At 44.3% G+C, this 19219-nt stretch overlaps 1 protein-coding gene across 12 annotated transcripts in view; it reads right to left on the reverse strand.

The window, feature by feature from the left end:
- Positions 1–19219, reverse strand: part of VPS53 (VPS53 subunit of GARP complex) — a 206172-nt gene that overhangs the window by 109921 nt on the left and 77032 nt on the right. For 10 of the 12 annotated variants that reach the window (XM_047436345.1, XM_047436344.1, NM_001128159.3 and 7 more), the window contains 4 exons: positions 12962–13040; positions 9500–9643; positions 8586–8728; positions 4945–5086 (listed from right to left, as the gene is read on the reverse strand). In XM_047436345.1, coding sequence (XP_047292301.1) covers positions 4945–5086; positions 8586–8728; positions 9500–9643; positions 12962–13040 — 508 coding nt within the window. Of the gene's footprint in view, positions 1–4944; positions 5087–8585; positions 8729–9499; positions 9644–12961; positions 13041–14155; positions 14254–19219 lie in introns of those variants that run through there. The other 2 variants (XM_047436349.1, NM_001366254.2) reach the window with 1 other exon arrangement.

Genomic DNA, 19219 nt, shown 5'->3' on the forward strand with positions numbered 1-19219 from the left:
TACAGGCATGCACCACCATGCCCAGCTAATATTTCCCGGGTAGCTGGGACTACAGGTGCCCACGACACCTGCTAATATTTCTTGGGTAGCTGGGACTACAGGCATGCACCACCATGCCTGTTAATATTTCCTGGGTAGCTGGGACTACAGGCGTGCACCACCATGCCCCGCTAATATTTCCCGGGTAACTGTGACTACAGGCGCCCACCAGGCCTGCTAATATTTCCTGGGTAGCAGGGACTACACGTGTGCACCACCACACCTGCTAATATTTCCCGGGTAGCTGGGACTACAGGCGCCCACCACGCCTGCTAATATTTTCTGGGTAGCTGGGACTACAGGCGCCCACCACGCCTGCTAATATTTCCTGGGTAGCTGGGACTACACGTGTGCACCACCACGCCTGCTAATATTTCCCGGGTAGCTGGGACTACAGGCGCACACCACCACGCCCCGCTAATATTTCCCGGGTAGCTGGGACTACAGGCGTGCACCACCACGCCCAGCTAATATTTCCCGGGTAGCTGGGACTACAGGTGTGCACCACCACGCCTGCTAATATTTCCCAGGTAGCTGGGACTACAGGTGCCCACGACGCCTGCTAATATTTCCCGGGTAGCTGGGACTACAGGTGCCCACGACGCCTGCTAATATTTCCTGGGTAGCTAGGACTACACGTGTGCACCACCACACCTGCTAATATTTTCCGGGTAGCTGGGACTACAGGCGCGCACCACCACGCCCCGCTAATATTTCCCGGGTAGCTGGGACTACAGGCGCGCACCACCATGCCCCGCTAATATTTCCCGGGTAGCTGGGACTACAGGCGTGCACCACCACACCCCACTAATATTTTCCGGGTAGCTGGGACTACAGGCGTGCACCACCACGCCTGCTTATATTTCCCGGATAGCTGGGACTACAGGCGTGCACCACCACACCCCGCTAATATTTCCCGGGTAGCTGGGACTACAGGCATGCACCACCACACCCCGCTAATATTTCCCGGGTAGCTGGGACTACAGGCGTGCACCACCACACCCCGCTAATATTTCCCGGGTAGCTGGGACTACAGGCGTGCACCACCACACCCCGCTAATATTTCCCGGGTAGCTGGGACTACAGGCGTGTACCACCACACCCCGCTAATATTTCCCGGGTAGCTGGGACTACAGGCGTGCACCACCACGCCCCGCTAATATTTCCCGGGTAGCTGGGACTACAGGCGTGCACCACCACGCCCCGCTAATATTTCCCGGGTAGCTGGGACTACAGGCGTGCACCACCACGCCCCGCTAATATTTCCCGGGTAGATGGGACTACAGGCGTGCGCCACCACGCCCCGCTAGTATTTCCCGGGTAGCTGGGACTACAGGCGTGCGCCACCACGCCCCGCTAGTATTTCCTTTTCTGACCTGCATTTTCTTTAAGGCTATTTTCACCTGTTTTGTGACCCATTTTTTTCCCTTGTTACTAAAAAGAAATCAATATTGAACATTAGTTAGCAAGCAGAGAAGTATACATATTTTTGATGTGCTAAGTAGGAAAAGAGTGCTTTGTGGTTTCAGCTGCATTTTATTCTAATAAAGTCGTGAGTGAGCCCAAGTAGGCAGGACCTTGTGGTCTGGCCTCAAAATTGGGCTGCTGCCACCACCGCTCTGCAGTCCATTGCCTGAAAGGCCAGCCCGATTCACCTGCTCCACCCTGTCTAAAGACCAGCCCGATTCACCCGCTTCACCTGCTCTGAGGCTGGTCTCATGGGACAAAGAGGGAATTGCACTGAAGTCTCAGGGTTTTAGGACCAGAAGGGTAGGAGCTAGAGAAGGTGGCAGAGGTGAAGGTTGAACAAGTGAGTGGGACTCCAGGTACAAGTCCCAGCCTGCCCCCGGCTTCAACCACAGTAGCTCAGTTTCACGGTCTTACACATTAGCTCCGTGGCCTGGAGTAAGTTTCAAATGAGCACAGCGCCTACTTCCTATGGCTGATGAAGCACAGTGACTGACTGCAGGTAAACGCACCTAATATAGCGTGGGTCACCAAGTGGATGTTCAAAGCATGACAGCTATGGGTGTTTCAGATTCTACATTCTATTTTTTTTTTTTTTTTGAGATGGAGTCTCACTCTGTCGCCCAGGCTGGAGTGCAGTGGCGCAACCTTGGCAGCACCCACCACCACGCCTGACTAATTTTTTGTATTTTTAGTCGTGATGGGGTTTTGTCACGGTAGCCAGGCTGCTCTCAAACTCCTGACCTTAAGTGATCATCCCACCTCAGCCTCTCAAAGTGCTGGGATTATAGGCATGAGCCACCGCACCCGGCCTCTACATTAGATTTTGTTACAAGAAAGGATTTGGAAATCACTGATTTGGCCCATCTCTCTCATTTTAAAACAATTGAAAAATAACTTTGTTAAAGTACACACAAAGTATGTAAATGCATTTGTATAAGAAAATTTCCAAAAAAACTATACCAGAGTAAATGGAAAAAAATATTTCCTTGCTTCTCTACCTACTCTCACTCCAACTTCCTTCCCAAGAGACATCCACTGTTACCATTTCCAGACCTCTTTCTTATACATTTACACACATAAACATGCTTTTTACTTTTTCCATAAAAGACATTATACCTCCCAAAGTGCTGGGATGACAGGCGTGAGCTGCTGCGTCCGGCCCCCGTTCTACCACTTTTAAACTGCTGTGTAGCATCTCACAGTATGGATGCACTGTAATTTATTTAACCATCTTCAATAATAAACATTACAGACACAGCCAAGCCTTTTGCTTTTAAGGCTGCAGTTCACCTCTTTCTTTGTGCATCTTCCTCTACATGTATGGATTTTTTTTTAGACTTCTGGTTTAGATGTAAAATTGTTGCTTGACAGGACATGCATATTTACATTTCTGAAAGTTCTGATAATGACAATTTATGCACCAAAAAGGTTGTATCAAGCTGTATACTAGCCCTAAAATCCTGTACTGTTAGTCTTGTAATTTTTTTCTGTTTGCAAACCTGATGTAGGAAAAATATCCTGTTTTCTTTTTTTTCATGTTTATTAGCCAACTGAATTTCTTCAGTCAATCGTCTGTCTGACTCTGTACTCATTTTTCTAACGGGTTACTCGTATTTTCCTTATGGATTTTTAGGAGTTCTTTACATGTGCTAGATATTAATCGTTTGTGTCATGCAGCTTCAACTGTTTTTTAATCCCTTGATTATGTTTCTGGTCTCTTTTTCCAAAAGAACGTTGTTCTCTTTATGTTGTTAAACCTTTTAGTACTTTTCTTCATGGCTTTTGGGTTTTATGTCTTATTTAGTCTCCCTAATATTCTGTTATTAAAGGATAGGTGGGCATGGTGGCTCACACCTGGAATCCCAGCACTTTGGGAGGCCGAGGCGGGCAGATCACCTGAGGTCAGGAGTTTGAGACCAGCCTGGTCAACATGGTGAAACCCCGTCTCTACTAAAAATACAAAAATTAGCCAGGCTTAGTGGTGTGCACCTGTAATCCCAGCTACCCAGGAGGCTGAGGCAGGAGAATTGCTTGAACCTGGGAGGCAGAGGTTGCAGTGGGCCGATATCGCCCCACTGCACTCCAGCCTGCTGACAGAGCAAGACTCTGTCTAAAAAACAAAATGAAAAAACAAAAAAATAAAAAAATAAAGGATAGTCTTTTCTTCTCATTTAACAGGGAAGGCAGTTCACTACATTACAGCAGAATCGGGATTAGACCACAAGTCTTGACTGCTGGTCCAAGGATTTTGCTACTAAATCACTTTGCTTCTCTATTGTTACCCGCAGTTTAAAAAAAAAAAACAAATCTAGCTCTAAAGAAAATTCAAAGGTATGATTCTCTCAACTTGGATTTCTTCTTCCCTCCCTCCTTTCTTCTTTCCCCTTCCATTCCTGCCTGCATGGGTTCTGTGTACACTCTGCACGACTCGAGGAGACGGATGAGTCAGCTACAATTCCTGTATTCAAGGAGCTCAATGTCTACGCATATGTAATGATGCAAACAGAAATTACCATAGAACAGAGTCACTTGGTTTCCCAGTGGACAGGAAATCTGAAGAGAGCACCTTGATGTGTTAGCAGGGAGCCTGGGCCTCCAAAGAGAAGAGGTTTACTCCTTTCTCTTTCTTTTCTTTTTTTTTAGAGATAGGGTGTCACTCTGTCACTCATCATAGCTCACTGCAGCCTCAACTCCTGGGCTGAAGTGATCCTCCTGCCTCAGCCTCCCAAGTGATTGGGACTAAGGGGTGCACCCGACTAATTTTTTTTTTTTTGTAGGGATGAGGTCTCACTATGTTGCCCAGGCTGGTCTCGAACTCCTGGTCTCAAGCAATCCTGCCTTGGCCTCCCAAAGTGCTGGGATTATACAGGTGTGAGCCACTGCATCAGACCAAAAAGAAGAGGTTTCCGGAGTGAAAATTTGGACCTGGTCTTTGACTACACAGAGACAAACGTTTAACCGGCAGTACTATGTTCCACCTTTCCAATGGAGGCACGTAGTCCCCAGGCCTGTATACCTGGCTTTGGGGTTTACAGAGACTCATTGACCTAGTTTGTTCACCAGAGATGTTAAAAGGTAAACCCTAAAGTAAAAACATATCCTAATTGTAACCAAATCTGATAACTGATAAAGAAATAAGGTATTTGTGACTGAGTAAGGCCTCTGACTCACAAAATTACTAGTCTGTAAAATGGGATCAATACTTAAGAAAAATGATGACAGGGCATTCTAGAAACATGATGTACTGCGTAAGAGACAAACAATAAATCCACACAGAGTGTTCTGTATCATCACTTTCCCAGCAGCTCAGTGAAATCACTGCAATGAGGGGTTAAGCACCGAAGCCAATGGATAGAGTCACCATACAGTGAAACCCTGAATCCCAACCACCCAACCCACTGATTTCACGTGGCAGCTCCCTAGGGAAGGTCTTACCAGGGTCCCATCGGTCAGGGTGCAGCCGGAGAAGCGTTTTGCAAGAAACCCCTCAAAGTTAGTTGTTCTTTGAATAGCAAAAAGAAGCAATTTCACTTCAATTTCCTTCGCTCTGGTACGCATAATCTTGGCAAGTTCTGCCCTTCAAAACAAAGAGATAAGAATACTATCAAACAAGCTGATCATTCATTCAGTAGAGATAAGGTAAATGGCCTTAGCTTATATTCAGAAAAAAAAAATGTATGTGGTCATTTCAAACCCTGAGGTCTGTTACCACCTTAGTCTAAAACCTGGGGAATAGAAATACATATTCTAAACAAGATTTTTAAGGTGAAATTATCCACCAGGCAAAAAAATCAGGGGTCATGGATGATATATATATACTTATATTTATTTGTTTGTTTATTTATTTATTTATTTATTTGAGATGGAGTCTCCCTCTGTCGCCCAGGCTGGAACCTCCACCTCCTGGGTTCAAATGATTCTTTTTTTTTTTTGTATTTTTAGTAGAGATAGTGTTTCACCATGTTGGCCAGGCTGGTCTCAAACTCCTGACCTCAAGAGATCCGCCCACCTCGGCCTCCCAAAGTGCTGGGATTATAGGTGTGAGCCACCAGTAATTTGGTTACATAGTTACTACGTTGCCTGTATCTTTGAACAGTTTAATAATTGGATAATAATACATATGGAGCACCTAATTTTTTATTAGTGTATATAGCCTATATAATTTCACAAGTCATTAATTACTGAATTATAAAGCCCTCCCTCTTCCTGAGGGCCCAATAATCATCTCTTCAACTAGAGAGCAGGAGTCCTGGAAACACACGCAAGGGACAGGATCCCTGCGGGAAAAGTGGCAAGCACGCTTAGCTGGTCCCTGCCCGAGAAGCTCCTGTGCAGCTCTCACTCAAACGTTCCATCTCAGAAGCTCAGTTGCTGGTGAACAGGGACATGTGAGTTCTTAGTAAGGACTAAGCTACCATCTTCTCACACAAATAAATGACAAAATGAAACAAAGAGTCTCTGAGTTTATTTGAGAATGATGTATCTGTAGGATTTTAGCCAAAATTCTAACAATAGAAGCTTGGCAGCAACACTGCCATTAGCCGAGACAACAATGGCAGGTACTGGCGCTCACAAGAAACGTGCTGGCTCTAGCATACGTCCAGCCTCTCCCAGGCTCCATTTCTCACTGAGCTGGTTTGCAAGTCTGCTGAACTGTAGGCTAAAAAGAATTAGCTAACAGTTTCTCAAGGAATTCACTCTTTATTTTGTTAATTGGGATTTAGAAGGTGACAATCTCAACTCATCTTAAACCAATGCTAAAAGGTTCTCTAAATCTACAGGAGTCAATGTGTTTCTTTTTTTTTCTTCCTCTTTCTTTCTTTTTCCCTTCCACTCGCCCTCCCTCCCTCCCTCCCTCCCTTCCTCACTTCCTTCCTTCTCTGTCTTTCTCTCTCTTCTTTTTTTTTTTTTGAGACAGGGTCTCACTCTGTCACCCAGGGCTGGAGTGCAATGGCATGATAATGGCCTACTGCAACCTTGACCTGGGCTCAAGCAATCCTCCCACCTCAGCCTCTCTAGTAGCTGGGATTACAGGTGCTTGCCACCATGACCAGCTAATTTTTGCATTTTTTGTAGAGATGGGGTTTTGCCATGTTGCCCAGGCTTGTCTCAAACTCCTAGGCTCATATGATCCACCTGCCTTGGCCTCCTGAAATGCTAGGATTATAGGCATAAACCACCAAGCCTGGCCCAATGTGTTTCTTAGAATAACAGCCACACAGAATGGAGCTCAGTGCACCTGTAGTTGCAGCTACTTGGGTGGCTGAAGCAGGAGGGCTGCCTGAGCCCGGGAGTTCAAGGCTGGGGTACGCTATTACCATGCCTGTGAATAGCCATTGTACTCCAGCCTGGGCAACACTGCGAGACCCCCATCTCTTAAAAAAAAAAAAAAAAGCCACACAGAATGTATGTGAACACCAAGCGTGAACACTACCATGAACTATGGACCATCACTCTGGGTAATGATGATGTGTCCGTGTAGTTTCATGAGCTGTGATAAATGCATCGCTCTGGCGGAAGGTGCCGACCATGGGGAAGACTATGCACGTGGGGCCGGGAGCACCTGGGAACTCTCTGTGTCTTCTGCTCAATTCTGCTGTGAACCTAAAACTGCTCTAAAAGGTAAAATCTATTTTAAGAAAAGCCAATATCCCTTAAAACACTTTTGCCCCACAATGTGTTTGAAACATGCAATTTGACTTTACTTTCCATGATTTTAATAAAAAAGACGGCCATGGATTATGGGAAAAGGTGGTTGAGTTATGCTAGATATGGGCTTTTTTTTCTCTTTTTCACCCAGCATTAGATCTAACTGTGTACTACTGGGAGGAAATATATAACTAATAAGAACCAGTTACCAACACTGTTGTAGTCTAGCCGCAAATAAAGAATAAAAGGAGTTCAAGACCAGCCCGAACAACACAGCAAAACTCTTGTCTCTACAAAAAATACACACACAAAAATTAGCCGGTGTGGTGGCACACACCTGTCATCTCAGCTACTCAGGAGGCTGAGGTGGGAGAATCACTTGAGCCTAGGAGGTCAAGGCTGCTGTGAGCCATGATCACACCACTGCACTCCAGTCTGGGTGACAAAGTGAGACCCCGTCTCAAAAAAAAAAAAAAGTCTGACTCTGGCTTTAGCTTTGTCATAGATATACTGATTTAACCTTCCTGGGCTTTGGGTTTTTTTAATATAAAGAGACTATCTGTCCTTGGGCTACACTCATGGATAACGTAGAGAGGATGAACAAAAGACGGTCTTTAAAATGCTTGGAAAGCTCAGACGCAGGCCAGGTGCAGTGGCTCATGCCTGTAATCCCGGCACTTCGGGAGGCTAAAATGGGCGGGCAGATCACCTGAGGTCGGGACTTCAAGACCAGCCTGGCCAACGTGGTGAAACCCCATCTCTACTAAAAATACAAAAATGAGCCAGGTGTGGTTACACACACCTGTAATCCTTGCTACCTGGGAGACTGAGGCATGAGAATCACTTGAATGCAGTAAATGGAGGTGGCAGTGAGCTGGGATTGTATCACTGCAGCACTCCAGCCTGGGTGACAGAGTGATTCTGTCTTGAAATAAAAGCTCTGAACTATCCAGAGGCTATACACACTGTATTGGGAGTGGGAAATTCATTCAACAAATGTTTCCTCTGTGTCTGCTATATCATTAAGGTAGATACTACCCTGTCTCTATGGAACTATCTATCTAGCAAGTCAGAAAATAAAAATGATGATGGGATATATACACAGCACACTGATACATGCGATACCGACTAGGGGAAAACGTGGGGTAGAGGAATCACTGTAGGTCAATCTGGTGTATAAGCCTTGAGTTGGTGGAGAAGGTAGAGATGGCTTGAGGCAAGAACTACACCACGGAAAGTCCCAGAGCAAAGATGGGGGCAGAGGGAGCAGCTGGTGGGGCCACTGTGGGGTACGAGGATGATATTAGTCATCTGGTGGGGTCTGGAAGTGGCATCAAATCCACAGGACAACATGGAACCATTAGAGACTGGGGAACCGATGGTGAAAATTTGATTAACCACAGAACCAGTAGAGAACTGGCATCTACCTTGTCACATGGCAAAATTCCACCGCAATCCTCTCAGCCATGCACCACTCACGTGGAAACATGCGGCCGTATTTCTCCTCATAGTCCACAAGCTGGCGTTTTATCCAGGCATAGCGTCTGTCGATTTTGTCCAGCCAGGCAACCTGGTGAAGGTGGAGATCAAAAGCCACCCCAGTGGTTAGAAGTAGAAATGGCAGTTCAAGGAAACAAGCAAAAACACAGAGCCAAGCAAAAGGGAACCAACCTCTGTATTTCTCATGGTTTTAAAGAATCTAGGCTACCTTTTTAACTTGATTTTTTACTTAAAAATTCAGAGGTTTTTGGCTGGGCGCAGTGGCTCATGCCTATAATCCCAGCACTTTGGGAGGCCGAGGTCAGCAGATCACCTGAGGTCAGTTCGAGACCAGCCTGACCAACATGGAGAAACCCCGTCCCTACTAAAAAATACAAAAATTAGCCTGGTGTGGTGACAGGCGCCTGTAATCCCAGCTACTTGGGAGGGGGAGGCAGGAGAATTGCTTGAACCCGGGAGGCAAGGTTGCAGTAAACTGAGATCGCACCACTGCGTTCCAGCCTGGGCAACAAGAGCGAAACTCCGTCTCACACACACACACACACACACACAAAATCCAGAGGTTTTTAACCTGGGGTCCATGATTGGCCTTCAGGGGTCTATACATTTCCAGAAACTATATGCAGAATTTTATGCACAGGTGCATGTTTCTGAATTTCTCCAAAGGGTCAGTGACCTCAAAATGGTTAAGAACTATAAACTCAGCCCCTAGGACTCACAGCTCAACAACCAACACTGTCAGACAGTCATGTAATACGAGGTCTAAATTAGTAGGCTTGACAGCACTCATGTTTCAATAAAATTCAAATGTTACATCTGATCTTATTTGGTCAATACTCACATCTTGGTTTTCTTGAAAAAGTACCAGATACTCTGACAGATGCTGTTTAATAAACTTTTTGATGATTTCCTGTTTGATCCTGGGATCTAGAATATTAGCAACCAGACATGCATCTCGTAGAACATTGCTGGGTCCTCCTGGTCTCTAGTAAAACAAACATGTACCAGGTGAAAAGCCAGAAACAACCTTTAAACCTCATGGCTTCTCACAGCCACTACTTGTTATCTCTACGCATTGTCAGTCTTACTCCTGCTCCTTCACACTCATTCTTTCTGCTGTGGCTGGATCTGTCAGTTACCTGCTGCTCCTCGAGGATGGAATCCTTACACTCGTTTTACAGCAAGCGACAGAAAAACTACCCTGTGAATCTGCAATGAGATATTTTGGGAAATGGGCAGTAATGATCACGGGAAATTTGACTTTCTGCAAACCAAAACTGAAAGAGATCTAAAAGTCAGAATGCCACTGGTCTCTGATGTCGCAAGATGCTGCTGAAGAGGCCTAAGAGTGGGAATGCCACCAGCCTCTCTCCTAAGAGTTGGAATGCCACCAGCCTCACTCCACATGTGCCACTCTTCCCTGACTCCAACCTCTGGGATTCCTGTTCTTAAAGTGCTATGTTTTTGCCAAATAGTGTGGTCTCCCTTAACACATAAAACCAGGTTCCAAGCCACGACATGTGTTTCACAATAGTGAACTACCTAGAAAGGCAGCCAAAGAGAAAATGCTGTGATACTGGCCTCCTGACCTGAGCGAACACTGGAAAGATACCAGGCGCTGTACTGACGCATCACGACGGGAAGGTCTTTGTTACCAAAAGCAATTCAATGACCAAAGTTTTGCTGAGACTTTCTTTACAGTACGTCACTGAGTGAACATGACTGGCTAAGTGGACTACAGTAAAAAGAACACTTGGAATCTACTCCTGGCTTGGCTAAAAAGCCATGCATGTAGCTTTGGAGCACTTGCTCACCTCATATGAAAAATAATAGACTTTAGGTGATAAGTAAGGTTCTTCTAAATCTTTATTTTTTGTCAACTCTTTCCAATTCCACCCATCTCAACTGAAGTTCCACGCTTCTAAAGTGTTATATAAGCTGCCTGAGACCTGAGTTTTTAAAATGTTGACTTACTCCATGCTGAGTGGTTTTTATGTCATCTGCTGAACACCCTAACTTCTCAATTCTCACTTCAGGATGAAAGTGACCTGATAGAGAAGTCATAGATGCCAAAACCTATGGGTTCACGGGTTCAGATTTTTTCATTTACAAAGAGTTTACTAGGTTGTGCCTTGGAAAAATTTTTAAAAATCTTAATTCCCACTTGTGAAATGGAAATAGTAACACAAGGCCTTTAAGAAAAGCCCATAGTCTTTAAAAAGAAAACTAGGCTGGGAGCGGTGGCTCACGCCTGTAATCCCAGCACTTTGGGAGGCCAAGGCAGGCAGATCATGAGGTCAGGAGATCGAGATCCATCATGGCTAACATGGTGAAACCCCATCTCTACTAAAAAAAAATACAAAAAAATTAGCCAGGCGTGGTGGCGGGTGCCTGTAGTCCTAGCTACTCAGGAGGCTGAGGCAAGAGAATGGCATGAACTCGGAAGGTGGAGCTTGCAGTGAGCCGAGATCGCACCACGACACTCCAGCCTGGGCAACGGAGCAAGACTCCATCTCAAAAAAAAGAAAAGAAAAGAAAACTAAAAACAAAACAAAAAAAAAACCACACACACACACACACACACACACACACACACACACGAAGTCACTATGCCAGAGAAAAGGGAGGCATGTTGTTAAAGAGAACCATTTTAATTTCATCTGCCCGGTGGAATCTGGGAAAAAAAATATAAAGCAGGCCTCTTCTAAACAATAAAGATGGGCTTCATCCACATCTTCCTGAAACTTCTAGAAACTGAAATGAGTGGCTGGGCATGGTGGCTCATGCCTGTAATCCCAGCACTTTGGGAGGCCGAGGCGGGCGGATCACCTGAGGTTGGGAGTTCGAAACCATCCTGGCCAACATGGAGAAACCCCGTCTCTACTAAAAATACAAAAATTAGCCAGGTGTGGTGGCAGGTGCCTGTAATCCCAGCTATTTGGGAGGCTGAGGCAGGAATCACTTGAACCCAGGGGGCGGAGGTTGCAGTGGGCTGAGATCACACCATTGCACTCTAGCCTGGGCCAAAGAGTGAAACTCCGTCAAAAAAAAAACAAACAAACAAACAAAAAAAAAAACCTGAAACGGGCAGCTGAGTACACGTGAGGCTAACCTTGTCCTAAGAAGAGCCCAGTGCTTCTCATGAGCGAATATCCCCACAATCCCTTTTCACTTCTTTGACCTTCATTTTCCTCATGTAATAAATAGGACTAATGGCTTTCCAATATCTACTCCCTCCCTGCAGTTATATCAGATGACTAAGGAATATGAGGTTCTCCAAGGAAAGTGCTTTACAAATAAGCATCTGATTACTAGCAGACAGCCACAAAATGTGAAGACATTAAAATCAGGAGCGGGCTTCCTATAGAAAGTGATGGGCAAAAGCTGGGGCCGCTACTCCCACTTACTTCCTACATTTCTTTTATGGAACACAAAGAAAAAATAATTAAGATATTTCCAGTTATTGAATTACAGAGCAGATGCAGGAAATGTTCCTTGGATCAGTAAATGAATGTATGTCCCCATCTCTACCCACCGAGTAGGGTGAGGCTCCTTGCCCCTAAGTGCTTCAGTATATTTCTGCCTTGAACAATTCTTTCTCTTGAAATAGCTCAAACAATAGAGAAAAAGTCTCGTATGGGTTCTTTCCTGTCCGACACATGCTAGGCGCTAAGATGGCATCTGCTACAGTTGGAAGGGTGGAGCTAAAAGCAGTTCCCCAAGCAGGATGGCAGCTTGTTACATGAGAAGTGCAACCAACAGCTCCCAAGTGAAATGCTGTGGGCTTTGCAGACACAACACAAACAGCTCTGCTACCAGAGAGAGCTCAAGGGCATGAATTCCGAAGAGCAGGCTTATGGTCAGTAACAGTGAGGCTCCTCACTATATCACTCTGAGAGTTACATAAGATGGTGGATGCTCCACCCAGTTGTCTTTTCACCAAACCAAAACCAGTAAGTTATGTAACAATCCTAAAAACACCGCGGCATGAAGATTTCTTTTAAATACAGCCATGAGAAAAAAGGAATTGACAGGGCATACAAGATAGACGGTTTGAGACCTACATCAAATTAAGCCCAAACAAATCCTCTCTTTCTGAGGCTGGAAGGAAACAGAGGAGGAACTGCCACCACCTAGGGACATTTAAAATCCAGGGTGGTCTCATTACCCTGAACCTGCAGCAGAAGGATTTGCAGCTGCCAGCGAGCATGACTGGAATGATAACCACATGGTGACTGGGGTGAGCGTGAGCTCGGCAAGGATGGTGATCATCTCTAAAGACTGGGGAAACGCAAAGCAGTACCTTGGTGCCCTGGGAAGGAAACGCTTCTTCAAAATCTGCCAGGATTTGCTGTCCTAACTCAGTCTGTGCAGCCTTCACTCTGTGAGGAAGAGAGAACATATCATCACCTGGCATCATATCCTTATGTAACTACACACCGATCCACAGGGTCGGAAGGGCTGAAGTCTTTCGAGAAAGGCCAGGAAGGGTACAGAGACGTCCATGAGGTGAGAGGTCACATACTAGTTAAGTGACAGGTTGATGAGCAGGACCCAGGCATCCAAGATATTCTCAGGGTGAATCTTCTATATCCCCAAAATTCTTCTAGGCCAACCCTTTACCTGAGGTCATATGTATTAATCTTTATACAGTTCCACTGGGGGATAGTCATGCTGTGGGAAAATGTTATAGAATCACATCCACATCAAATATAAATCTAGCTGGGCGCAGTGGTTCACGCCTGGAATCCCAGCATGTGGGAAGCTGACGTGAGAGGGTCGCTTGAGACCAGGATTTCAAAACCAGCCTGGGCAACATTAGAGAGATCCAGTCTCCACGAAAAACAAACTAAAATAAAAAGTACCCAGGTGCGGGGGCACACACCTGTACTCGGGAGGCTGCGGCGGGAGGATCTCTTGAGCCCAGGACTTTTGAAGATACACTGAGCTATGATCACACCACAGCACTCCAGCCTGGGTGACAGAGGGAGACCTTGGCTCTAAAACAAAACACTAACAAACAACAACAAATAAATCCACTTTGGATTACTGGTGTAACTGCTGTCCTACTCCTTGGAGTACAGAATGGCAAGAGGGCTCCATAATGTTTTAGGGTGTTTTGTAAAAAATTATTATGGGTATATAATCATTATATATATATTTATGGGGTACCTGTGAAGTCTTGATACAGGCATACGATGTATAATGATCAAATCAGGGTAACTGGGTTATCAATCACCCCAAGTTATTTGTTACTTCTCCGTGTTAGGAACATTCCAATTCCAATCTTTTAGTTATTTTTAAATAAACAATAAATTATTAACCGTAGTCACCCTATTGTTCTACCAAATACTAGATCGTATCATTCTAACTGTATTTTTGTGCCCAGTAGCCATCCCAGTTACTCCCCGCCTCCCTGCTATGCCTCCCAGCCTCTGGGACCCAGCGTTCTACTCGCTATCTCCATGAGTTTACTTTGAAAATGTTTAGCACCCACATGAGTGAGAACATGAGGAATCTGTCTTCCCGTGTCTGGCTTATTTCATTTCACATCACGTCCAGTTCAATCCATGCAGCTGCAGTGTTTTGGGTTTCCTGTTAACCCAGAAACCAACAAGCTCGTTAAGTTTTTAAACAAATAAATGAAAAGAATGTTTTCTAAGGTAAAAACAAAAAGAGCCAAGTGACAAAATGAACTGCTAAATGATCACTAGTGAGGGCCACTGAGTGACCATTTAAGTTCAGAAGTTTGTGAATATGAAAACGGAACTGCAAGGAAAACCAGCTAGAAAGGGGAGGCCAGTACTCAACAGTGGCCGTGAGTGTACTAGGAGCTCAAGAACTGTGCGTGTACTTGAATGCAAGGGCAGAAAGGAGAAGCGGCTAGGATGGAAAGCGGCTATGGATCATACCCCACGATCAATCACGCCCCGCAATGGATCAGGCCCCGCAATCACGTCCCGCAATCGATCACGCCCCACAATCGATCGCATGCTGTGCATCCCCCACGAGCTGCCTGATGTTGGTGGCCACCGTGCACCGGCCAGCCTTGCAGAGAGAGAGTGGAACAAGATTCTCAGGCCCTGCTGGGCTTCCTGAGCCTGAGGCAAATACTGTCTGGTTGCTAAAAATGCCTTAAAAGAGCACACTTCCATTCTCGGTCTCCACCCTGTTCCTTCAGAATTAACTTTATGAAGTTTCTAGAAATAGCAACAGCTCAAAACCACAATTTCTTTGGCTGCTAAGGAGTGTCTGGCAACCTGCTGAGATTTTTTTTCAGATGAGGGGATAGGCATGACCCAAAACAATCTGTTTTTTCCGTGGCGTGGTTACAATTATACCTTATTCCAAATACTTTCCAAGGTTTTTCCAGTATCTTCAAAACTTTTAAAACCACTCTTAGAGGTGGGTTTGTAGCCTTTTGAGTCAGTTTTCAAGGAGGCCAGAATGATCCAGACGAGGCTATTACTGGAATAGCCGCCACCTCCAGATTGGAATCAGGGCCATACGTCTAGAGCTGTCCAGCAGACAATGGGAGACATTCCTTCAGCGTGAACTTTGACATGAGAGAAAAGAATAAAATTGTACTTCGGAGCTTCTTGTGATGCGCACACGAGGAGGCAGCACACAGCCTGCTGTGGTGCCAGGTCACAGGACAGCTTCCAGAGGCTCAGGCCCCCCCTGTTCCTACCCTCTTCTTGGAAGCACACACACAGCACCAGTTCCCTCCTAAGCCACAGGGAACTTATAGTAGGAACTTTTCATGGTTAGAAGAGGAAGGAGTTCTCCTCACAGGGGAAGTCCAGCCGCTAGCCAGGGCACCCACAGTCACATTCTCAGGACTACTGGCCATCTCAATGACACTGGTGGGCCCGGCTCTGCCCCTGGCCCGAACTATTTGCTACTCCATATTCTTGGTGACTCTGGAACTGAGGTGGCAGAAAGGAGAGCCTCTGGCCCAAACTATTCCCTACTCTGAATTCTTGGTGACTCTGGAACTGAGGTGGCAGAAAGGAGAACCAGAGCCTGTGACAGCACCTGGTATCACCAGAGACAAAAAAGAGGAAAAATTACCAGTCTCTGATTTGTAGACTTCCTTGCCATGCTCTTCATTTTCATTTTTTTACATTAAATTATTATGTACACCTTATTTTTTTTTATTATTATACTTTCAGTTTTAGGGTACATGTGCACAATGTGCAGGTTCGTTACATATGTATACATGTGCCATGCTGATGTGCTGCACCCATTAACTCATCATTTACATTAGCTATATCTCCTAATGCTATCCCTCCCCCCTCCCCCCACCCCACAACAGGCCCCGGTGTGTGATGTTCCCCTTCCTGTGTCCAAGTGTTCTCATTGTTCAATTCCCACCTATGAGTGAGAACATGCAGTGTTTGGTTTTTTGTCCTTGCAATAGTTTGCTGAGAATGATGGTTTCCAGCTTCATCTGTGTCCCTAAAAGGGACATGAACTCATCCTTTTTTATGGCTGCATAGTATTCCATGGTGTATATGTGCCACATTTTCTTAATCCAGTCTATCATTGATGGACATTTGGGTTGGTTCCAAGTCTTTGCTATTGTGAATAGTGCCGCAATAAACATACGTGTGCATGTGTCTTTATAGCAGCATGATTTATAATCCTTTGGGTATATACCCAGTAATGGGGTGGCTGGGTCAAATGGTATTTCTAGTTCTAGATCCTTGAGGAATCGCCACACTGTCCTCCACAATGGTTGAACTAGTTTACATTACCACCAACAGTGTAAAATTGTTCCTATTTCTCCACATCCTCTCCAGCATCTGTTGTTTCCTGACTTTTTAATGATCACCATTCTAACTGGTGTGAGATGGTATCTCATTGTGGTTTTGATTTGCATTTCTCTGATGACCAGTGATGGTTAGCATTTTTTCATGTGTCTGTTGGCTGCATAAATGTCTTCTTTTGAGAAGCATCTGTTCATATCCTTCGCCCACTTCTTGATGGGGTTGTTTGTTTTTTTCTTGTAAATTTGTTTGAGTTATTTATAGATTCTGGATATTAGCCCTTCATCAGATGAGTAGATTGCAAAAATTTTCTCCCATTCTGTAGGTTGCCTGTTCACTTTGATCATAGTTTCTTTTGCTGTGCAGAAGCTCTTTAGTTTAATTAGATCCCATTTGTCAATTTTGGCTTTTGTTGCCATTGCTTTAAGTGTTTTAGACATGAAGTCCTTGCCCATGCCTATGTCCTGAATGGTATTGCCTAGGTTTTCTTCTAGGGTTTTTATGGTTTTAGGTCTAACATTTAAGTCTTTAATCCATCTTGAATTAATTTTTGTATAAGGTGTAAGGAAGGGATCCAGTTTCAGCTTTCCACGTATGGCTAGCCAGTTTTCCCAGCACCATTTATTAAATAGGGAATCCTTTCCCCATTTCTTGTTTTTGTCAGGTTTGTCAAAGATCAGATGGTTGTAGATGTGTGGTATTATTTCTGAGGGCTCTGTTCTGTTCCATTGATCTACATCTCTGTTTTGGTACCAGTACCATGCTGTTTTGGTTACTATAGCCTTGTAGTATAGTTTGAAGTCAGGTAGCATGATGCCTCCAGCTTTGTTCTTTTGGCTTAAGATTGTCTTGGCAATGCGGGACCTTTTTTGGTTCCATATGAACTTTAAAGTAGTTTTTTCCAATTCTGTGAAGAAAGTCATTGGTAGCTTGATGGGGATGGCACTGAATCTATAAATTACCTTGGGCAGTATGGCCATTTTCACGATATTGGTTCTTCCTATCCATGAGCATGGAATGTTCTTCCATTTGTTTGTATACTCTTTTATTTCATTGAGCAGTGGTTTGTAGTTCTCCTTGAAGAGGTCCTTCACATCCCTTGTAAGTTGGATTCCTAGGATTCCCAAATTCCTAGTTGGATTTTATTCTCTTTGTAGCAATTGTGAATGGGAGTTCCCTCATGATTTGGCTCTCTGTTTGTCTGTTATTGGTGCATAAGAATGCTTGTGATTTTTGCACACTGATTTTGTCTCCTGAGACTTTGCTGAAGTTGCTTATCAGCTTAAGGAGATTTTGGGCTGAAACGATGGGGTTTTCTAAATATACAATCATGTCATCTGCAAACAGGGACAATTTGACTTCCTCTTTTCCTAATTGAATACCCTTTATTTCTTTCTCCTGCCTGATTGCCTTGGCCAGATCTTCCAACACTATGTTGAATAGGAATGGTGAAAGAGGGCATCCCTGTCTTGTGCCAGTTTTCAAAGGGAATGCTTCCAGTTTTTGCCCATTCAGTATGATATTGGCTGTGGGTTTGTCATAGATAGCTCTTATTATTTTGAGATAAGTCCCATCAATGCCTAATTTATTGAGAGTTTTTAGCATGAAGGGCTGTTGAATTTTGTCAAAGGCCTTTTCTGCATCTATTGAGATAATCATGTGGTTTTTGTCTTTGGTTCTGTTTATATGATGAATTACATTTTTTGATTTGCATATGTTGAACCAGCCTTGCATCCCAGGGATGAAGCCCACTTGATCATGGTGGATAAGCTTTTTGATGTGCTGCTGGATTTGGTTTGCCAGTATTTTACTGAGGATTTTTGTGCCAATGTTCATCAGGGATATTGGTCTAAAATTCTCTTTTTTTGTTGTGTCTCTGCCAGGCTTTGGTATCAGGATGATGCTGGTCTCATAAAATGAGTTAGGGAGGATTCCCTCTTTTTCTATTGATTGGAATAGTTTCAGAAGGAATGGTACCAGCTCCTCCTTGTACCTCTGGTAGAATTCGGCTGTGAATCCATCTGGTCCTGGACTTTTTTTGGTTGGTAGGCTATTAATTATTGCCTCAATTTCAGAGCCTGTTATTGGTCTATTCAGGGATTCAACTTCTTCCTGGTTTAGTCTTGGGAGGGTGTATGTGTCCAGGAATTTATCCATTTCTTCTAGATTTTGTAGTTTATTTGCATAGGGGTGTTTATAGTATTTTCTGATGGTAGTTTGTATTTCTGTGGGATCAGTGGTGATATCCCCTTTATCATTTTTTATTGCATCTATTTGATTCTTCTCTCTTTTCTTCTTTATTAGTCTTGCTAGCAGTCTATCAATTTTGTTGATCCTTTCAAAAAACCAGCTCCTGGATTCATTGATTTTTTTGAAGGGTTTTTTGTGTCTCTATCTCCCTCAGTTCTGCTCTGATCTTAGTTATTTCTTGACTTCTGCGAGCTTTTGAATGTGTTTGCTCTTGCTTCTACAGTTATTTTAATTGTGATGTTAGGGTGTCAATTTTAGATCTTTTCTGCTTTCTCTTGTGGGCATTTAGTGTTATAAATTTCCCTCTACACACTGCTTTAAATGTGTCCCAGAGATTCTGGTATGTTGTATCTTGTTCTCATTGGTTTCAAAGAACATCTTCATGTCTGCCTTCATTTCATTATGTATCCAGTAGTCATTCAGGAGCAGGTTGTTCAGTTTCCAGTAGTTGAGTGGTTTTGAGTTAGTTTCTTAACCCTGAGCTCTAGTTTGATTGCACTGTGGTCTGAGAGACAGTTCGTTATAATTTCTGTTCTTTT

This window comes from Homo sapiens, chromosome 17, assembly GCF_000001405.40.
Source record: "Homo sapiens chromosome 17, GRCh38.p14 Primary Assembly".
In the NCBI taxonomy this organism is placed as follows: Eukaryota; Metazoa; Chordata; class Mammalia; order Primates; family Hominidae; genus Homo; species Homo sapiens.